The sequence below is a fragment of the Homo sapiens genome, chromosome 5, assembly GCF_000001405.40.
Source record: "Homo sapiens chromosome 5, GRCh38.p14 Primary Assembly".
NCBI lineage: Eukaryota > Metazoa > Chordata > Mammalia > Primates > Hominidae > Homo > Homo sapiens.
In genome coordinates, this window is record NC_000005.10 from 70,691,942 (window position 1) to 70,714,450 (window position 22,509).

The 22,509-nt window shown below is 33.1% G+C and overlaps 1 long non-coding RNA gene across 5 annotated transcripts in view; it reads right to left on the reverse strand.

The window, feature by feature from the left end:
* LOC107986355 (uncharacterized) overlaps positions 1 to 22,509 on the reverse strand; it is a 102,717-nt gene that overhangs the window by 75,132 nt on the left and 5,076 nt on the right. For all 5 annotated transcript variants that reach the window (XR_001742421.3, XR_001742420.3, XR_001742423.2 and 2 more), the window contains exons 2-3: positions 15,885 to 15,949; positions 8,796 to 8,837 (exon numbers count right to left, since the gene is read on the reverse strand). This is a non-coding gene — a long non-coding RNA (uncharacterized LOC107986355). The remainder of the gene's footprint in view (positions 1 to 8,795; positions 8,838 to 15,884; positions 15,950 to 22,509) is intronic.

Genomic DNA, 22,509 nt, shown 5'->3' on the forward strand with positions numbered 1-22,509 from the left:
ATAGGGCTACGCTTATTACTGCTCAAGCATTCTGTTTTAATAATTGTGTTTTACTTCTAAAGGTTAAATAAAAGCAAAAAATGGGGCTAAACTATCAAACTGTTCCCCTATTTGTTTTCTCCAGTGTACAACATATATATGTATATATTTTATTTTATTGAAGATGCAGTAGGATACCTGCCATTTAAGAAAATAAATAGAAAATTTAAAATCCCAACAAATGAGAAAAAGAAATTCAGTACCCAAGAATAGGGCTGGTCCAGCACCACCCCGAAGTAGGCTGTGGTTTATGGAGTGAAGAGCCTTGCTCCCTTTACATTCGCTCATGCTCCCACACAAGGCTAGCAGTAGAAATGCTTGAATTCTGCTTGGCTTGCCAAGGGGACTCAGGAGTCAACCAAGGGAACTATTTGGCTCCACGAGGAATGGACACCTCAGGATGCTTCCTGAACAGGGCCTAGTCAGGAAGTAGCCTGGATGTGCATAGTCATGGTCACCTTATGAAAATGTGTGGCAGGTGGCTCTCGGGAAAAACACCAAGCCTGGATCATCTGTGTGGCAGCTTTGCCTGGGGAGGTAACAGCTCCAAATTGAAACTGAACTGCATCCTACATGCTTTACCAAAGCAGTGATGAGAGTGATCAGTGCATGTGGTGTGAGTGGTAGGTTTAAAAAAAAGGGAATGTTTTTTGTTTTTTTTTTTTTTTTTTTTTTTTTTTTTTGAGACGGAGTCTCGCTCTGTCGCCCAGGCTGGAGTGCAGTGGCGGGATCTCGGCTCACTGCAAGCTCCGCCTCCCGGGTTCACGCCATTCTCCTGCCTCAGCCTCCCAAGTAGCTGGGACTACAGGCGCCCGCCACTACGCCCGGCTAATTAAAAAAAAGGGAATGTTTTACGCTCAGTGTTTCCTCTGTCTTTGGGCTACTCAATCTGGACAATAGGTAACCATTCTTTTCAAGGAATCAACCCAACTTTGCTGGCTTGGTTTGTGGTTTGTTTCATCCCTAGCTATGAGCATGCTTTGGTCTATAAACGTGGCTTGTCTCATAATACATTCCCTTTCTGTAATTTTTTAAATTTTTTATTTCCATAGGTTTTTGGAGAACATGAGGTATTTGGTTACATGAGTAAGTTCTTTAGTGGTGATTTGTGAGATTTTGGTGCACACATCACCCGAGCAGTATACACTGAACTCAATTTGTAGTCTTTTACCCCTCATGCCTTTCCCACTCTTTCCCTTGAGTCCCCAAAGTCCACTGTATCATTCTTATGCCTTTGCATCTTCATAGCTTAGCTCCCACTTAAGAGTGAGAACATGCAATGTTTGGTTTTCCATTCCTGAGATACTTCACTTAGAATAATAGTCTCCAATCCCATCCAGGTTATTATGAATGCCATTAATTCATTCCTTTTTATGGCTGAGTAGTATTCCATCACATATATGTATTTATGCATATATATATATATATATACATATGCATATATATATACATATACATACACACACACACACACACACACACACACACACACACACACATAAATATATACCACAGTTTATTCACTCATTGATTCACGGGCATTTAGGCTGGTTCCACATTTTTGCAATTGCTAATTGTGCTGTTATAAACGTGCATGTGCAAGTATCTTTTTTGTGTAATGACTTCTTTTCCTCTGGGTAGATAACCAGTAAGATTGCTGGATCAAATGGTAGTTCTACTTTTATGAATTGTCCTTGTTTTTCTTTAAAAGTTAATACTTTTGATCACTATAGTTTGTTAGTGTTGGATTGTTTCCACTTTGAAATTTCTAAACTTTTTCCCTTCATAATGTTAAAACAAGTTATGTTAGATGCCCTTTCAACATGAAAGGTCTGTAGTTAAGATATTACATATATTTTATTGTTTATAATAAAAATCTAGACATAAGAAGTGCCAAGTGTTAATTATAATATTTTGCACAGTATCTTTTTTCCCATGATGTGTTAATATCTACAATTTCATTAAATGTTGATGTTATTCTCTATTGAGATTCAGAAGCCTAGGGAGCTATGTGTTCATTTTGGTTATTTTTGTTGTTATTTCCCTGAAGCAAAAGACTACATGGCCTTCAGTGCAACAACCTCAGTCCAATTCTGAAGTTTATTATACTTGCTTGCCTCTTGGCTATTTAACTTCTGAGTGCAAATCATTGAACTCCCTAATGAAGTATTGTAGAGAATAAATTAAAATGAATAAAGAAAAATACTTCCTCTTCAAGGAGGTTCATGAAAAGGACTCTAACAAGTATGCTGGAATTTAGATTTCTTATGAGTTTAAGATTATACCACTGGACTGGGAAAGAATTTCCAGGACTCTAATGAAGAAACGATGGCTTCTTAAAACATCTAACCCAGATCAAGTAGAATAAGTTTAATGAATGGGACTAAACAAACTGATGGCAATATTTTCGAGTGACTTTTTGTTTAACATTTTGCTGTTTTTTTTAAATTTTTTGTTTTCCAGATTTGAGAAAACTTTTAAAAAGCTATCTATAGCATACAGCAATTTGGTAAAGTATACTTTTATAAATAAAAATGGAAATATTTATTTTTTCTTCCTACCTGCGGCTGCAGTCTTCAGAGAGCTCTTATTGATATTTTTATTTTATGGCAACATAGTTATTTGCATTAATTCAATAAAAATCTATTCTCTTTGTAACAGGATAGAATTACAAACATTGGTTATATTATAAATGGTTTGACTTGAATGTGATATTTGAGACTATGCACAGGATGCCTAGCTTCAAGGATTCCCAAGCTCACAGTGAGTGAATAAACATTTTTACCTCTTGACAGGCCAGGAACCTCCAGATATATTGGAGACCTCAAGAAGAGAGAAATTCATGCAGATTTTTAGATACTGCAGCCAAAGTCTGATGTTCGCCCTCCTTTGACTTCTGACCCTTGAAAGGCTTTTAAAAGTCTAATCTGAGATTTCTTATCAAAAGTTCCGTCAAAATAAACTTAAAAACAGCCCATGTTTCATCCCTTTTCTTGCTATACTGTTGTCAATAATCATGCCAAGTTTAATGAGACTAAACTTATTCAGCAGACAAATTAGTCTTACTCTGATTATCTTTAGTAGAAATAGGGATGATTGTACAGAGAAAAATTATGTTTCTGAAGAAAAACTGCAGTACACCTGTTAGTAGATTGTAGTTTTCTTTGTTGTTTTCAAGTTTTTGTCATCTATCTCTAAATTAGACAGGGCACTTAATTATTCTAATTTCCTCCAACGTCTGGCTACGATTCTCCAACTAAGAACATAAACTGCCTTGTTCCTAAAGTCCTATAAGTTGGAGCCAGAAAACTCCATGTAAATTTCAAGAGAGAAATCTCATGGCTATTGTGTGGGCTACAAAGAGAATTGACTAAAATGCCCCATGCTATACCCAGGAACATTCAAACTACAAACCAGAGTAAGAAGTTGATGACATCACAGTGTGGAAAGCTTTTCCCAAGACATTGTAACAAAACTGGACTCTTATCCTTCTTATTTTTTTTTTTTCTTGCTTATGCCTACATTTTTCACTTGGCAGAATAACGCTGTGGTTAGAATTTCACATTCAGTAGCTTCCGTAACTGAATGAAGTTTTGGATCTGTCGTGTCAAACCCACATCTTTACATGACCTAAGGGATCCTTTAGTCCACCCAGTGGGTAACTATGGCAACATCCCTAATTTATTTGCCACCTTGGGTTTCGTTGCAGGCTTCACTGCAAAGGCTATTGCCGCCCAGCAGTGCTCATTAAAGTATCTTGCTGAGTAGCCGTAGATAACACAACAGGACAGGATGAGATAACTCTCAATTATCTACTGGTTGAACAAGAATGTCTGTGCCATTGCTAATAACTACATGCTGTACCTGAATATATTTCTCTGGGGAAGTCAAGACCTAATTGCATAAAATAGCAAGACAGGCTTTATGGCTACAACAGATCTCACTCAGTCTCACATAGACTTTTGATTCATTAGTTGGCTGCCTTTGGGTCCATGTTCATAGACAATATTTCATGTTACTATTAATTTTGTACCGCATCATTCTTTTTAAACTTTTTATCTGTTTCCTGTCCAACCTCTGCAGAAATGATGCATCTAACAGAATAACACTGGTCCAGAACTTCCAAATGGTAGTCAATGCCTATGGAACTGACAAAATTGAACTTAGCAATGAACTCCAGGCAGATTTATCCTGAGAGCCACTCCTTCTGAACCTCTTTGTTTCTTAAATGTGACTAAAAGGGTTTTGACATCTGCTCTTAGTTGCTGGCCATTCACCTCTGATGCAGGATCAGACTAACTAGGAAAGGTCCACTCCAGCACCAAGAAACAATCAAAACCTAACTATAGGCTGATTAATCAGCAATGCTTTCAGAAAAAATTCTTGGTCAAAGGGGGGAAATGTTAAAGTTACAAGCAAAGAAGTTGACTCACTGAAGTCAAACCACAACAAAATGGAGCTGGGAGAGTATAAAAGAAGGCCCTTCATGCATGGATGTCTCTAAAAGAACTATTGCAAGGACTCCCTGAAAACTACAAAAATTTTAGATACGACGCTTCTATGAAGACATCTTCCCAGCAATAGCCAGTATCACCGATGAGTATTTGTCCATACCAAGCAATAAGCTTCTGGGGCCAAAGAGGTTTATTTTAAAATAATTTACATGAACTTCACCTTTTTTTTTCTTTATTTCTTCTTCTTCTTCAAAAAACAAACAAAAGTGATATATGTGCAGAACGTGCAGGTTTGTTACATAGGTATACGTATGCCATGGTGGTTTGCTACACTTTTCAACCTATCGTCTAAGTTCCCTCCCCTCACCCCCCAACCTCCAACAGGCCCCAGCGTGTGTTGTTTCCTTCTCTGTGTCCATTTGTTCTCAATGTTCGAATCCCACTTACGAATAAGAACATGCGGTATTTGGTTTTCTGTTCCTGTGTTAGTTTGCTGAGGATGATGGCTTCCAGTTTCATCCATGTTTCTGCAAAGGACATGCTCTCATTCCTTTTTTATAGCTGCATAGTATTCCATGGTGTATGTGTACCACATTTTCTTTATCCAGTCTAACAGTGATGGGCATTTGGGTTGGGTCCATGTCTTTGCTATTGTAAATAGTGCTGCAATAAATATATACACGTATGTTCCCTTACAGTAGAATGATTTATATTCCTTTGGGTATATACCTAGTAATGGGATTGCTGGGTCAAAAGGTATTTCTAGTTCTAGATCCTTGAGGAATGCCCATACTGTCTTCCACAATGGTTGAATTAATTCACTTTCCCACCAACAGTGTAAGAGCATTCCCATTTCTCCACATCCTCTCCAGTATTTATTGTTTCCTGACTTTTTAATAATCTCCATTCTAATTGGCGTGAAATGGCATCTCATTGTGGTTTTGATTTGCATTTCTCTGGTGATCAGTGATGTTGAGCTTCTTTTGTATGTTTTTTGGCCACGTAAATGTCTTTTTTTGAGACGTGTCTGTTCATATCCTTTGCCCACTTTTTGATAGCGTTGTTTGTCTTTTTCTTGTAAGCATGTTTAAGTCCCTTGTAAATTCTGGATATTCGATCATTGTCAGATGGGTAGATTGCAAAAATTTTTTCCCAGTCTGTAGGTTGCTTGTTCACTTTGATGATAGTTTTTTTTTTTTTTTTTTTTTTTTTTTTTGCTGTGCAGAAGCTCTTTAGTTTAATTAGATCCCATTGTCAATTTTGGCTTTTGTTGCAATTGCTTTTGGCATTTTTGTCATGAAGTCTTTGCCCACCCTGCCTATGTCCTGAATGTTGTTGCCTAGGTTTTCTTCTAGGGTTTTTACGGTTTGGGGTTTTACATTTAAGTCTTTAATCCATCTTGAGTTAATTTTTGTATAAGGTGTAAGGAAGGGGTCCAGTTTCAGTTTCCTGCATATGGCTAGCCAGATTTCCCACATTATTACTGAATATGAGATCCTTTCCCATTGCTTGTTTTTGTCAGGTTTGTTGAAGATCAGGTGGTTGTAGACGTGTGGTGTATTTCTGAGGTCTATGTTCACCTTCATTGGTCTATATGTCTGTTTTGGTACCAGTTCCATGCTGTTTTGGTTACTGAGGCCCTGCAGTAATGAAGTCAGGTAGTGTGATGCCTCCAGTTTTGTTCTTTATGCTTAGGATTGTCTTGGCTATATGGGGTCTTCTTTGATTCCATATGAAATTTCAAATAGGTTTTTCTAATTCTGTGAAGAATGCCAACGGTAGTTTGATGGGGAACTTCACCTTTTACCCTTAAAAAAGCTTCGGCTCCCCCAGCTTTTTCAAATGTGCCTATGGTTCAGTACGGTACACATATCCCAAATTGCAGTTCATTGCTCTTCCCAGATAAACTATTTTGAAAAGTCAGTCTCTCTGCTGTTTATTTTAATAATTTTTAATAGAAGTACATCTTTCTTAAAAGCATAGCAAAAATTTTAAGTACATTCACAATAATAATAATTAGGAAACAAATGATCATTGCTTTGATTTTAAGAATTATTAATTTCTTTAATTTTTCAAGTTGAAATATAGAACATGTTTTATTTAGTTACCAATTTATTTCTGTATTTTTCATGAAACAATTTACTTTGGTAAGAAATTTCAAGGAATCTGTGGCATAAATACATATTTGGTCAATGTTCCTTGACCCAAAGTATTAAGGCTGGGTTGTATTTAATTCAGTGACTAAGTAATTTAGTCAGGTTATTCAATAAATTAATGAGGTAATAATCTATAAATTGTTATAATCTGTCAATCTATAAATCATATGTAAAATTGTATTATAAAAAGCAAATGAGTCTTTCTAACAATAGCTAGTTCCGACAATAAAATAACTTCACTTTTAGTTAGCAAGCCCGTATTACATTTCTAAATATTGAAGTCTGTGCAGTAGTTAATGAACTTTTAGTCAATTATTGAGAAAAAAACTTTTAGTACAGTAGAAGATATAAAAAACATGATTGAGCTCAATTTCTCTTTTTTAAAAAATCACTGATTTCTTGGTCAAACTTTTGCTTCTTTTGGAACTTTTGAACTTTGTGGCCATGTGAAATGGCACTCTGAAACTTCTAGTAGACTCAAATTGAGGTAACTTTCTTGCTCACGACAATTTTATGTCCAGTTTCTAATATAAGCCATTATTTCTAACACATGCCATGGTTCCATGTTTGAACTAATGTTAATACCACCTGCCCCTACATGACTGAGTCTGAGCACATCCCTGGGCCACATCAAGCACCATGGCAGATTAATCATTCCTTATGGTTTTAACAGGCAAGCTGGGGAAAAAAAATAACTGTCTCCTCCAACTTTGGTTATGAGTGAGTTTCTTACCTTTTAATGGTGAAAAATAAACTTATCTGTCATAGGAGAAAATAACATTACACTCATATGGAAGCAGAGGTGAGAAGTGAAGCCTTAGTAGTGATGTCATCGTTGCCAATTACTGAAGCCAGGAAGTTAGGAATCATCAGTCTTTTTCTTTTGAATTAATGTGACAGTAGTCGAGAGAGAGAAAAAAGTAGGCATGCTGTATGTTATTTAGAGGATAAGATCTATAGATTTGAAATTGATTTGGCATAAACCCACAGGAAAGTGAAGAATCAAGCATGTATTCTAAGCTTCTGGCTTGAGCAAGTGAGCAATCAGCAACATCAGCCCTATGACTTACTAGATTTTTACTGAGGTATACTTTGTAATGTAATAGCTGCGAGAAACTGAATATCATTGAAATTTAGAAAAGGTTATGACAATGTCATTGGGTTAATAGATAGCCTTTTCTTACAAAGATTTGTAAAAAATGAGAGGCCCTAGACATTTGCTGTGTATATTATGCATAAAAATACCACCTCCAGTGAATTCGTTTGGAAAAGAAACTCAAAGCAAGGCCAGACAAAGGAAACAAAAAGAAAAGAAACGAAAGGGAAAGGACAGGGAAGAAAAGGCAAGAAAAAACAAGACAGACAAAAAATTGGAAAAATATGACAGAGAGAGCAAGAATTGTATATATCATAATTTTATAATATTTTAAATTTATAAAATTATTTTTTGACTTTTTTTAATTCAAGAAGACCCTGGATATAAGTCCATCAGTATATAAATAATTGCTAAGAACTGGGACTAAATTTTAAATAAACTACACTGTTGAAAAAGCCAATATTTTCAAGAAAATTGACCAAAAGGTATCCTTGTCTTCATTTCCACTGACATCTTATGACTGCCATATTTTTTCAGCTATGGCTCTTTTTCTACCAATGGCATGTCACAAAAATGTGTGAACCTCTGGTCACTCTAATTAGTCATACCAATATTGCATAATTTTACCTCAGAATGTTTTTTCCAACTACATTCTTTCTCCAGGGGCATTTATATTCAATGTTTTTTCCAGGGGCATTTACATTCTGAATACCGTGCCTCAAAGTCAAACTGGTTAGCATTACAATCTTGTCTGGTATTATATATGCATTTATTAATGTACAAATTGACCTCAGAAATAGAATATATTTGTCAGGAGTTTTAGGTCTTGTGTTCCCAACACCTAACAATAGATACTTGTTGAATAAATTATGAAAGGGAAAAATAATTTTTAAGAAATTTTGAAAACTTAAAAAGGAAACAAAGGTGTCACAATGGAAACAAAATTTCACTTTTTTTCCTCTGAGTTTAGAGTAAATCTCAGATTCAAACACATCTGAGGATGTACAATTATCAATTATGTAATTCCAAGGGAAAGTAATTTGTACTTACAGGTTAGATATGATAATCAATTCACTTAATTCTACTCGTTTCCTTTAAAAAAAAAAAAAAAAGAGGCTGTCAGAAATAATACATCACAGTAAAACCTCCTATCAAACAAGAAAAGATTGTATTTGGGAAAACATTTTCATAGACCTAAATTGAGTAATGTTTCCAACTTACATTTCACCAGTTAAGCTTCCCATTAGAAAATGTGTTTGTATGACACCAGTTCCACTTGCATTTTTTTCCCATAGGTTTCCCAGCAGACGTTTACAATCCTTTAGTGATGTTATAGCCAGAATTGTATTAGGTAATAATATAAAATCCCTAAATTTTATGTACAAACCTTCACTGATATTTTTAGTTATCATGAAAGAATCCTTGTATTTATTTCTATTCTAATTCTCCTCATGTCATTGGTATTTTATATGTATTCATTGTAAACATGTGTTGAATGTTCTAAATTTATACAAGCAAAACAATGTACATATTCTAGAGCTTAATATTTTCCCTCTCCCTGTTTTTTTTTCCGTGGCTTTCTCTTGCTTTCACTATTGCAAACTCTGACCCTGAGAGGCAAGAGTCGTGACCATTTAGTAAGATGTATCGTTGAGTATCATAAAATAGTTGGATAGTCTGCTATTTTTTTATAGTAGCAAAAATAGAATGTTCATATGCTTGCCCATGATTTTTATACATTTTTAAATTTGTCTACCACATGCCTAAATTTACCAAATTAAGTCCGTGTATATAAAACATTTGCACAAATGTTACTCAAGTTGTCTGAAATAAAAATACATGTATTTTGCAATTTAGAGCACATGACACTAAAGATGTATAGCTCCGTTAACTCACCTTCTGAACAAATTTCAGCAAGAAATTTCAGAATGAATATAAAAAAGTTAAGAAATATTCTAATATATAGTAGCTGAAAAGTTTACAGAAGTAAAGAAGAAAGACACAAATTAGTAGATTCTGAAGAATTATCTAAACGAACCCATAACTATTCTCTTTATTTTGGATATTCTATTGTTTCCTTATAATTTGTTTATAAGTTTCCTTATAAATAAACAAATTATAAGGAAACAGTGGAATATCCAAAACAGAATATGCAAGCCAATTAACAATCACCATTTTTACCAACAAAAATATTGAAAGTCAGAAAATTGTGGAATATCTTTGAAGTGCTAATAAATGATAACGGCAAATCTAGAATTTTATGTCAATTAGATTTAGAATTCAAGAGCAGATCAAAATAGAGACATCTTCAGACAATCCAAAAACTGAGAGTTTACTACCAAGAATAGTAACTTTTACAGTATGTACCATAGAATAAAGGATAATTAACTGGATGTAAATTCCAAAATATTAGAAGAAGAAAGGATGTGAAAAAACATATATAAGCAGTCACAATTTTATTTAACAAACACACCAACAATATGTGATTTGTGGGAATAAGAAAAACAACATGAATATAAAATAATGAACAATTTGTAGCAAATATTTTTAAATAATTGCAATTAAAGAGCCCTAAGACTTTGTATTGTTTGGGCTTGGTGTTAGTAAACTTTATATTTTATGTTAATAATGTTTATTAGAATATCAAAATTGCCTAGCAAAAGAAAACTGATAATGTGAATAATTTCCAAAATAAAAGAGATAAGTTACAAAAAATGTTAAAGTAAACAAATGCAAAACAAGGCAAAAAAAAAAAAATCAAAGTGAGAAAGACCAGCAAAGTGAATAAAAGGAAGAAAATATGACTTTAAATATAAAAAAATAAATAAATGAAAACCTAAAAAATAACATGCAAGTTGCCAAAAGAAAACGATTTACTTGACTGAATAAAGGTCGTTAAAGGATTTCTTCAGCTGGTGAGCACCAGGCAAACCTGAAGACTAGGTGGTTCCAGACTGAAGTAGGATCAGGCGTCTAACAGAAGTCTGTGGAGTATGCCTGGTTTAGGCTGGACAGATATTTTCTGCTTTAACTGAAGTTGAGTTTAGGTTTTTGGGTTCTTTTCTGTTTGTTTTTGTTTTATCTGTTTATGTTCCACTTTCAGAGTCTCATTATCCATCGGAACAATATTATATGAGAACAATCTTTGCAGCTGATGGGCTAACCACGTTCCCTGGGTGGGGCAGGGGAAGTAGACAAGAATAAGAATGAAGTGGATGTAAAGGAAGAAGGCAAGGGGCGGGGGATTATTACCCTCTAGTATGTTTGTTTTAATCGCTTTACACGGTTACTAGTTTTCAAATTTACTAAATATTTTATATGATTCAAATCATTAACTGAGAAATTTCTTTCAAATTCAGTGCTCTTTGCAGAGTACTGGCTAGATGTTGGAATCCAAAAATGAACTGTGAAAAAAGGCCCGTGTCCTCAGGAACTTATGTTCAGAAGAAATGGAAAAACAAAATTAAATAAGTGGATAAATACATGTGTGTTGTTTTACTAAGACCTTATTTATTAAATATTTTGCTAAGCCTATAATATTAAATCAGCTATTTATATATCTCTATATAACAATGGTTCTAGAGTCAGGAGGTTAACCTTGTGGATTCCTCAGTGACCTTGAGTAATCACTCAACCAAAATACATTTGTATTTAAATACGAACATAAGTTCGAACATTACGTTGTTACCCTAGCCACTTCACAAAATACGTTCGAACACTAGGTTGTTACCCTAGACACTTCACAAAATATTTGAAAAACACATGGATAGACAATTTGATGATTCTATAAATCTGGTAAATGAATTAGAAATATTATAAAAGGTTTTTCTGAGAGGATACCATCGAGCAAAAAGAAAATGACTAGCATTTGACACTATGTAACTTTAAATCTATATTTCAGGGACCTCTGTCACTTTCTTGGGGAATTGAATCACCTATTCCTACTTAGCAGCATGAAAATGAGTTGAATCTCCAGGTTATAGCATTTGAAGGCATGCCTGAGAGGAGCAGATTCAAAAATCAACAGGTGGTTGATGTTTTCTGTGGGGAGCATTCCTGCCTCAGTCCTGCTGCTGTGACCCATTCCTAAACAGCTTTGGGGTCTACAGTCCCCCTTGGTACCTGCTGGGGATTTGTTCCAGGACCACCACCAATCCTACCACCATCATCCCTTCATAGCAAAAGCCAGAGATGCTCAAGTTTCTTATATAAAATGGCCTAGTATTTGCATATAACTTACACACACCCTCTTGTATACTTTCTATCATTTCCAGATTACTTACATTAATAATACTGAATACAATATAAATGCTATGCACATAATTGTTATAAGGATTGTTTTTTATTTGCATTGTTTTATTGTTGTATTTCTTTTTAAAAATTATTTTTGGTATTTCTTTTAACAAATATGTTTGATTCATGGTTAGTTAAATCCACCCACAATGGGGGTATGGAGGGTCAGCTGTATTCAGGAATTTGCATTAACAGACTTAAGAGCCTAGTAGATTCTTTGCTTAAATGAACTCTGTGCAGACACAGCATTCAACATTTCTATTTTGATACTTTAAGCAGACTGCAGTGTTTGACAAGCTATTTCAGTAATATGCAATAATCTTTACAAAATAGACATAGATGTTCTGTGACCCCAAATTCTCTGAAACTCTAAACTCAATTATTGAATCTATAGTGGTGTTTCTGATCAGATTACAAGATGAAGGAAGCAATGGAACTTGGCCTAATGTAATGAAAAATATTGCTATCTCTCCACTGATTATTTTGGATGATGGGAGAGCTGTATAGCCATTTAACTAAAGAGGAATCCTTTCAGGAACTACTCTGAAGTACTTTAAGAGATGGAGTTGCTGAAGAAAAAAGATTGAAAACAATTGGCTTAGCTGTTCAGAGCATGGCAAGAATGTAACTATAATCTGTCATTGTGTGGGCAGACAGATGGCCTGAAAATTGAATAAATTGGAAATCACTGGAAGGCAGCTATTTTGTCCTTGAGTGCATTAGGTATCTTGGAAAAATGTTATTAAATGGTGAACAATTGCTATCGAAAAGTTTCTAGTTGTTTGGAACATAGAGTTACATAAAGTCAAGATTCTATTATTATTCTAATAATAGATAAAATCCGAATGTAAAGAAAATGTTTCCTATGAACTATGTAATTTAATTCTTATCAGAGCAATACTTTAAACAATTATTTGATTAGCCTGTGTTTGTGAATGTATATAAAGTAAGCAATAACCTTATTTTCTCCTCTTTGTAATTTAATTCATTAGAAATTGAGAATCTCAGACTTCTCTCCAGCCCTATTAAATCTGCATCTTCATTTCCAGGTCACTCATACACTGTTTAACTTTGAGAAGCACTGTTGTATATTGTCTTGAGAGTCCACACTATGAAATAAATTGGCCCTTATTTACTCCTCAATTGAAATTCTTCAGACTTTCTTAAAGTTTCTAAATAAGTCCCAGTTAGTGGAAATGAACTGAATTTAGTTTAATTTTTTTTATCATGCATTGCTGTCCAAAAGAAGAAAGCTTATTTCTGCCAACTTCTTCTTATCCTCAACTTCCAACCACTGTCACGTCTGTCTTCTTTCTTTTTAATATTTTCAGGTGAATTAGAGGTTTGTCAACCGTAAGAATGAAATATATGGTTTATGGCCTATTTTTATGTAACTGGTCATTCTGAGATCTGGAAAACACTACCTGTGTTTATCTGCAACTAAAATCTAGACACCTGAGCCTACACTGCATAGCGAAACAGGTCACTAGAAAAACACAAGCAATTTAGAAAGGCTTTTAATATTGAACAGTTGCATTTTGTTTCTATTCATGTCTATCGCTTTCTCTTTTTTATTCTAAATTGCTTTATTATATTCTATATTTAATATTCTATCATTAACATGTCAATGACAGTCAATAATAATTGAGGACTCAGGTTTTGTCAATACACTGATTTATAATTAGTACAATATGTTATGAGTTTCCTTCGCACATTAATATTATCAGCTCTTCATTTTTTGTTGTTCACAATATATCTTCAACTACCTTTTTATTTTTAGGCAATGTACATATTACAATTTAAGAATAACATCTTCTTTGTTAAATATTTATTTCCACCCCTTTTCAGAAAATTAGATGGTTTACATTTATTGTTAGAAATAATATAAAGCTTTTCTGGTTTTGTGCTTCTAAATAATATTATTAATATATTCTTTTGTAATTACAAAAGCTCCTTGTTTTTGTTTTGTAATTCCTTTCTCAATAAAATAGAGCTGCAAATATTTTGTTCCTTTAAATATTTCAAATAAATAATTTTCATTTATAATAAAAAATATAAAATATGCCAAAGAATTTATTATTTCAAAAAATATGTCATTCACCAATTTGCTTTTAGATTTGTGAATACAGTCTCATTTTATTTTAATACTTTAATCATAGATCTTAACTTTTTTATAATTAATTTTAATTTGTATTTAACATGGTAATAATATTTTTACTTAATTTTATATTGTTGGGTTAGTAGTCACTGTTAGTACACATAACTATTTTACTTTTTCAACATGTAATTTTCATTAATCTTATTCAGATAAAGTTCATTTTCACTATTTTTCTTCAATTGGAAATATTTCATATTTTAAAGACTTCCATTCCTAACAAATGTGGAATACAACATTTTTAGCTCAAAATATTTTTCAAAACAAAACAGAATTTTTCCAGTCTTCACATATAAAACTAAAGCAACAAGCTCAAGTCTATCCAGACATTTTATACTTCAGAAACGAAAATACTAATCTTACGTGTTTATGGCGGATGTTTTTCTTATAATTTTAGTTAAAAAATATTTGTAGAAGGTTTTTATAGTAATATAGTCAGAAAATTAGTCTGCATTTTTACCTACAAATTAAGCAGTATTTTAAAAATTAGCTCAGGAAATTTTATTTTATATTGTATTTTAGTCTGCATTTGAATGATATTTAAATTCTTAGATTTTCACTTTAGATGTGGGAACTCCGGTGCTTAATTCTATCCTCTTTAATTTTATATCTGTGATTTCTTCTGCTTTGTTTTCAGTTCTATTTTTTTCCTGCACTGCAAAAGAGTTTCTAAAGATTGTATTTAATATTACAAGCTTCATTTAGTGCTCTATCATTTGGCATTTACATTTTTACATAGTTTTAAAATTATATATATTTCTTTGTATTTTTTATCTAATTTTATACAATTTTAAAAATCATGCACCTCTAATATCTATTGACTAGGTTTAGCTTTCATTTCAGAGATAACATTAATAGTGAAAAATATTATCTTAAATGCAAAGATATTCATTATTTAAAAATTGATCAATGACATTCACTAAATTATCACAGGGACGAAAACATAAAATGATCATCTGTAGAGATGCAGAAAAATAATTTGACAAAATTCAGCACTGATTTATAAGAATTATCAGCAAAATAAGAACAGAAATGAAAATTGACCAACAACCAGAAATGACAGCAACAACAAAATACCAAGTCAGTAAAGATGGAGAGAAATAGGGAAGCAGTGAAGGTAGATGTCATTTCTGTTTTTAGTGGTGGAGTACAAGGTGTTCTTGTGCTTAAAGGTCATGTTCTTGTGATAAAACGCACTGCAGAGACAACACAGTTTAATTGGCTGAGGCAGGTGACTCCCTTTAAGCATCAGGGTGGAACAAACTACACGACAAAATGTAATTTTAAAGACCACTCTCATTCAAATGTAATAATATCAAAGCACCCTTAACTCATTAATGAGTGAAACAATGAGTGTCATGGTCTGAACTGTGTTCCCCTCCCCAAACCCGTATGTTCAAGCCCTAACCCCTAGTTATACACATAAGGTAAATGAAACCTCATTTGGACACAAAGTTTTTGCAGATGTAATCAAGCTAAAATTATGTCTGTAGGTGGGACTTAAAATAACATGGGTTGTCTTTATAAGAAGAGGGAACAGAAACAGATAGGATGTGGAGAGGACCATGTGAAGAGAGAAGCTGAGACTGAAAAGGATTTATGTATTAATATTGACAGAAGCCAAGGAACACCATCTGAAGTTCTGATGGCAACATCAGAAGCTAAGAGAAAGGCATGGAAAAGATTCTCACCTAGAGCATCCAGAGGAGAGGTTGGTCCTGCAGACACCTTGTTTTCTGACCTCTGACCTCCGCAACTGTGAGGGAAGAAATTTCTGTTGCTTAAAGACACACAGCTTGTGGTACTTCATTATAGCAGCCCAAGGTAACTAATATAGATGACAAAATTGGTTCCAAGGGTGTTTGAGGAACTGGACCTTTATAGGCATTATTTTCATAATACTGCATTAAGCTATGATAACTGGACTAGATTCAAAATTGGATAATGCCCTAAATGCAATAAAGCTATAATTTTGAGATAAAATTTTAATAGCTTTATGAGATATAATTAACATCTGGTATACTGCACATTTTTGAGGTGTGAAATTTTTAAACATTAACATACGTATATACTTGTAAAACCATCACACTAGAAAGAGATCTCAAGCCTCTTCTTTTGACTTTCAACACATTGTCAATCCAGTACTAATCTGGTTTTATTACCATATATTAGCTTTTATTTTCTACAATTATATATCAGTAGAATTATAGAGTATGAATTCTTTTTGTCTTTTTTCCTTAAGCATAATATTTTTGAGATTCAACAATTTCTTGCATGTTGAAGTAGCACCTTTTTTTATTGTTACGTATTATTTCATTTCATAGACATACCACTATAATTTATTTACTAAACTCTTGACCAGAGGTTCTCAAATGAGGGACATTTTACCTGCCGGGGACATTTCCAATGTTTGGGGACACTTTTGGTTATCAGAGGTTTGTGGAGGAGGGGATAGAGTGTCCACAGGCCAGGGTTCCACAAAGGATAGCTCCCCACAACAAAGAATTAAGCCACTTCAACAGCTAATAGTGCTGAACTTGAGAACGCCGCTCTTGGTGGACAGTTGCATGGTGTCTGTTTTTGACAATAATGAATAAAGGTACTTGTGCAAGCCTTTTTACAGACTTATGCTTTTCTCCCCCCTAGGATAAATGCCTAGGGGTAGAATTGGTACATGTAAGGTAGATTTAGTTATCCAAAGTAGCTGTACTGTGTTACACTCCCACCGTCGATGTATGCAAACTCTAGAGTCTGGTTTCTTGACATCTATGCCAAATATTGGTAACACAATTTTTAAAATAGTAGCTTTTCTAGTAGATGTGTATAATTATCTCATTTTATTTTTTATTACTAACGATATTAAGAAATTTTTCCTTTGCTTATTTGCTATTATATCATTTTTGTGTAGCATCTGTTAGTTTTTATAGCTCTCTTGTTTCTATGTTGTACATTATATTTATATATTCTTGCTCTTATTCATAATAAATAGTATATATAATTGTGTAATTAAAAATAAACATTAAAGTATAAATATATTTACACATTTCTGTAGTTTATCATTATATAATTATTGCTTTCTGAATAAAAAGAAATGTATCCACAGTTTGGATAAAAAGAAGTGCTTTCATGTAGTTTACTAAGACATTTTCTGTGCTTTATATTTGAAGCCTATGCTTTCACTTTTACACATTGTTCCATAATATATTTTGGACTCCTTTAATTTTGAACTCATTCACGCTTTTGTTGTGAGGAAGGACTTGAGGTTTGTTTTCTTCACATTTATCTCGTAGTTCTGCACACTTTGTTAAATAAAATTATCTTTCCCCTTTGAATAACTGCAGTATCTTTGATATTATATTATTCATATAAGCATGGATCTATTTGTGAACTCTATTCCATTCCATTACTCTAATTGTTTATCCATCTACTAATAACACATTCTCTCGATGACTATAGCTTTAAGTTATTGCATGGTGTTAGGAAGTGTGAGTATTCCAACTTTTTTTTCAGCTTTCTATCATTTGTTTTTGCTCTCTTGATGTACATTTTTAAATCAGTGTGTCAATTTATATAAAAATATCTTTTGTGATTATGGTGAGGATTTCTAGAATGATTAATTTGGAAAAACCAAAACCTTTTACACACTAAAATTCACTGAACTTTCAAGCCATGATTATTGTATTAGTTTGTTCCGGCATTGCTATAGAGAAATACAGAAGATTCGACAATTTATGAAGAAAAGAGGTTTAATTGCCCCACTGTTCTGCAGGCTATACAGGAAGGATGATGCTGGCATCTACTTAGCTTCTGGGAAGACTCAGGAAACGCACAATCATGGCAGAAAGCAAAGGGGGACAGGCACGTCACATGGCCAGAACAGCAAGAGAGTGAAAGGGGAAGCTGCTACACACTTTTAAATGACCAGATCTCATGAGAACTCACTCACTCACTATTATGAGAACAGTATCAAGAGGGATGATGCTGAACCACTCATGAGAAATCCACCCCATGATCCAATCACCTCCCATCAGGCCTCACCTCTAACATTGGAGATTACATCATACCAGATTTGGGCAGGGACACACATCAAAACCATCAATTATTGTATGCGACTCCATTTATTTAGAACTTTCCTACATCTCCCAACACTTTTGCTAGTTTCCTATTTAGAGAGATCTTGCATGTAATTTGTTAAAATCATATATACATATTTTATTTTTATTAGTATTTTACATGGATTTGATTTTTATCATTAATTGCTCATTGGAAATATATAGAAATAAGTTAATGGGTTGACTTATTTTTTCTATGATGTGGCTAAAATTACTAGTTTATTCCAGCAGCTGATTTTTACAGTCACTAGAAGTTTATGTGTAGGTAATGGAGTTGTTTAAAAATTTAGAAGTGTATTTTTCATTTCTTAACTGTGTATGTTTTACTTATTTATTTGATTTGTCTCACTGGTTAATTCCTCCCATACAGTAGAGAGAACAATAGTGAAAGAGGACACTTTGTCTTCTTCTGGATCTTAAATGAATAATTTATTAGTTCAAACTTCAGTGTGATATTTCCGTAGATGCCTTCTATTTGCTTAAGGATGCTTCTTTGTATTCTATTGGGGCGAGATATTTTTATTATAATTCTATCTTGAAAATGCCAAATGTTTTTTCTGCCTCAGAGGAAGTTTATATATTTTTTTCATTTTACTCAGTTAATGTGGTGAGTTTGAAAATTCAAATACTTGAAAAATCACGTTCCCATCAAACACTGCTTCTTACTGTGCCTTTCTAAGAGGACTACCTTCAACTTGGGCATTTAGAGGATACTTCCCTTCCTATAGCTCAGGGTTTTTTTGTATTTTTTTTATGTTTAAATTTTAGTGATATTTCTTTTATGTGTTTTTAAAATATTTTATGGGCTACTGCATTGACCCATTTGTTTCAACTTTACAGCTCTAGTTAAATATAAAAATTAATAAAATGTCAACACTCAAGTATTACATATATCCCTTGATCTGGTGATTTAGGACTATGAGAAAAATGCTCAATTTCCCTCGATAGAAGGAAGTATGAACTTTTTTATTTATTTATTACTGTAGTCTCACAGCCTAAAAATCAGTAGGTCTCCACTGGTCAGCAAGCAAATGATCATGATTATTTTTCTGAATTTTTGACAATTTCAGAATAGGCAAGAAAGCTAAGTTTTAAAAATAAAATGCCAACATCAAGAATTTAAAATCAAATTCGTCACAGTGAATCCCAACAGGAAATAGTTCTTCATTTTATGATTACTCAGAGATTTTGCTTGTTGTAGTGGTCTTCCTTCTGGCTCATAATTTTTTGCTACTCTGCAGCAGAAATAATAAGAAATATTTTCCCAGTCCACAGCGGTGAAGGAGAAGAAAACTATAAATCAAAAGTAGCATATTCTGTGGATCATTTATTGAAATAAACACAGTGAGTACAAGATGGGTAATCTATTTGCATAATCAAAGACACCCTTCATCTGTGTCTATTTTTCTCTTTTCTTTTCTTTTCTTTTCTTTTTTTTTTTTTTTGAGACAGAGTCTCACTCTGTTACCCAGGTTGGAGTGCAGTGGCATGATCTTGTCTCACTGCAGACTCCGCCTCTCGGGTTCCAGCAATCTTCCTGCCACAGCTTCCTGAGTAGCTGGCATTACAAGGTATGGGCCACCATGCCCGGCTAATTTTTGTATTTTTATTAGAGATGGGGTTTCGCTATGTTGGCCAGACTGGTCTTGAACTCCTGGCCTCAAGTGATCTGCCCGCCTCAGCCTACCAAAGTGCTGGGTTACAGGCATGAGCGACTTGCCTGGCTATGTCTATTTTTAACATAGTTATAGTGAACTATAATTATTTTTACACAAAAACTATTCTTACAAATGTTATATGTATTTTAAGAGCATACAAACTTACAGGTTTTTTTATTTAATAAAAACCAGTGGCAGATTGATAATGCAGAATATATTATTTGTAAAAAATCATTTGTTGTCATACAAACATATATTTTATTTGAAAATTATACTTTTGAATAGCTTTTTGGAAAGTTAAAGTATTCTCATTTATTGCATACGTTTGTCACCAAAATTATACGAAAGAGTGTTTGATTCAAAATGTGTGTGTGTGTGTGTGTGTGTTCCTATATAGGACCCAGATAACACATATATATTAAATAAATAAATACATGTATATATATATATCATGCACACACATTTAAATATAATGTAAATGTGTGTGTGTGTGTGTGTGTGTGTGTGTATGTGTATGTGTATGTGTATGCAGATGCCCCTCTGGAAACAAATTTAAAAAGAATCCCCTCTTTTGAGTGTATAAAGAAGTTCCTTTCTTAAGGAATGGATAACAGGGGTTGGTACTTTGGCTGAATTCCTCTTCCTCTTACTTTCATTAGACTTGGCACTGTTGCATAGAACACAATTTTCCAAAATGTAATGTCTGTGTTATGCCTACAAATGTACCATACATAACAATTTGTCATTTTCTGTAATTACATACTGACCTATTTAACATTTATCTAACCACTTATATATCTTAATCAAAATAAATCAACCCATGTAAATTGTTTATTTCTATTGTCTTTCTCAGTATAATGCACAAGATACCTTTCTATCTCTATATGTATTTGTCATTTTCATGTCTGTCCCTACATGAGTTGACTCTATTTTTCTGTTACATAGATATGTGATGTTAGTACAATATATGTTAACTAAAAATGGATGATGCAACCTTTTAAAATTATGACCATCGCAGTGAAAATTATGTCTCTAAAATATCAGGGGCTTAGGTATTTTCAGATTAAATTAGGAAAAATAGAGTATCTTTCCATTTATTTATGTGGGCAAATTTCCCATTTGTTCACATTAAATCTTTTAATGGCATATTGCCTAAATCTTTCTCAGAAAAGCTTAGCCAAATTGCCTAGGATGTTTCCTTTCTCCCATATTACCATCACTGTATACCATCATATTTCTAATAATTTTAATTTTGGAACATGAAAATGGTATTTCAATTTAAATGCGTATGTTTTTCTATTTGCAAAGAGATTAAACATCTCTTCAAGTTTTTAAACTATATGCAGCCCTTCTTTTCTGCTATACCTGTTCATTTCCTCAAGCTATTTTTCCATCAGACAGTTTCATGTTTTCTCATTGATTTGAAGCTTCTATTAAAGTATTGTATACACATGGGTAAATGCACATAAGTTTAAAGCTTAGTGAGTTTTAAAATACTATGATCATCCAGAATAAGAAAATGTAATAGTCACACACCTGATTTCCACCCATCCCTCCTAACATAACACTATTCTAACTTTTACCAGTAAGGAATCAAATAGTGTGTGTAGTGTTTTGAACCACATTTTTTTGCTTAATATTATATTTGTGAGACGAATTGACTATATGACCTGCAAATGAAACTATTTATATTTATTTCTCTAATATTTTATTAGGTGATCATATTACAACTTATTTGTTTACTGTACTCTTTATAAGTATTTTAGTCCACTTTTGGGCCACAGTTTGGGGTTATTTTGGTGTTATTCTGAAAAGTGTTTTCATGAGTACACATTTTTTTTAGCTATATATATGCATGCATTTCTGGAGAAACCATCTTTACAAGTAGAATTTTGGGGCCTAATACATATCTTTATCCAAATTATTTGAACTAAGTTATGCCAATAACATCAATTTGAGTGTTCTAATTAGTCAACATTCTCATCAATACTTTGCACTTTCTCTTCAACTTAGAATTCTAAAATATTCCTTTCAAATTCAGGATTCTGAATGACAAGTACTTACATCTCATTGTGGTTTGAATTATTTTTTCAGGTAACCAATATAAATAAAAACCTTTTAATAAGTTCATTGGTTATTTGAATATTTTATTTTTGAAGTGTCTAAAATATTTTCTTTCTAATCCAGTCCAGTTATTTTTCTGTGGTTTGCTTCTTGTTGTCTTATTGAGTTCATTGCCTTTTTAATATTCTTTTCCGGTTAACATTTCCCCCTCATTGATCTGAAATGTTTTCATTATATACCACCTTTCCATATCTGTCAATGTCTTGATTTTCTATATGATCTTCATCTATCTGTAGTTATAACTCATTTTAATCATAGAAGCTTTAAGAATTGCTTAATATTTTGTATTGACTCCAAATTCCATTGATTTTATAGGATATTTCTAGCTATTCTTGCTTCTTTATTCCTCCAAGTAAATTTGTCTATTTTTCTAAATCTGGAAAAAGAAATTCTAGAAAATGTCGTTTTGTTATGACACAGAA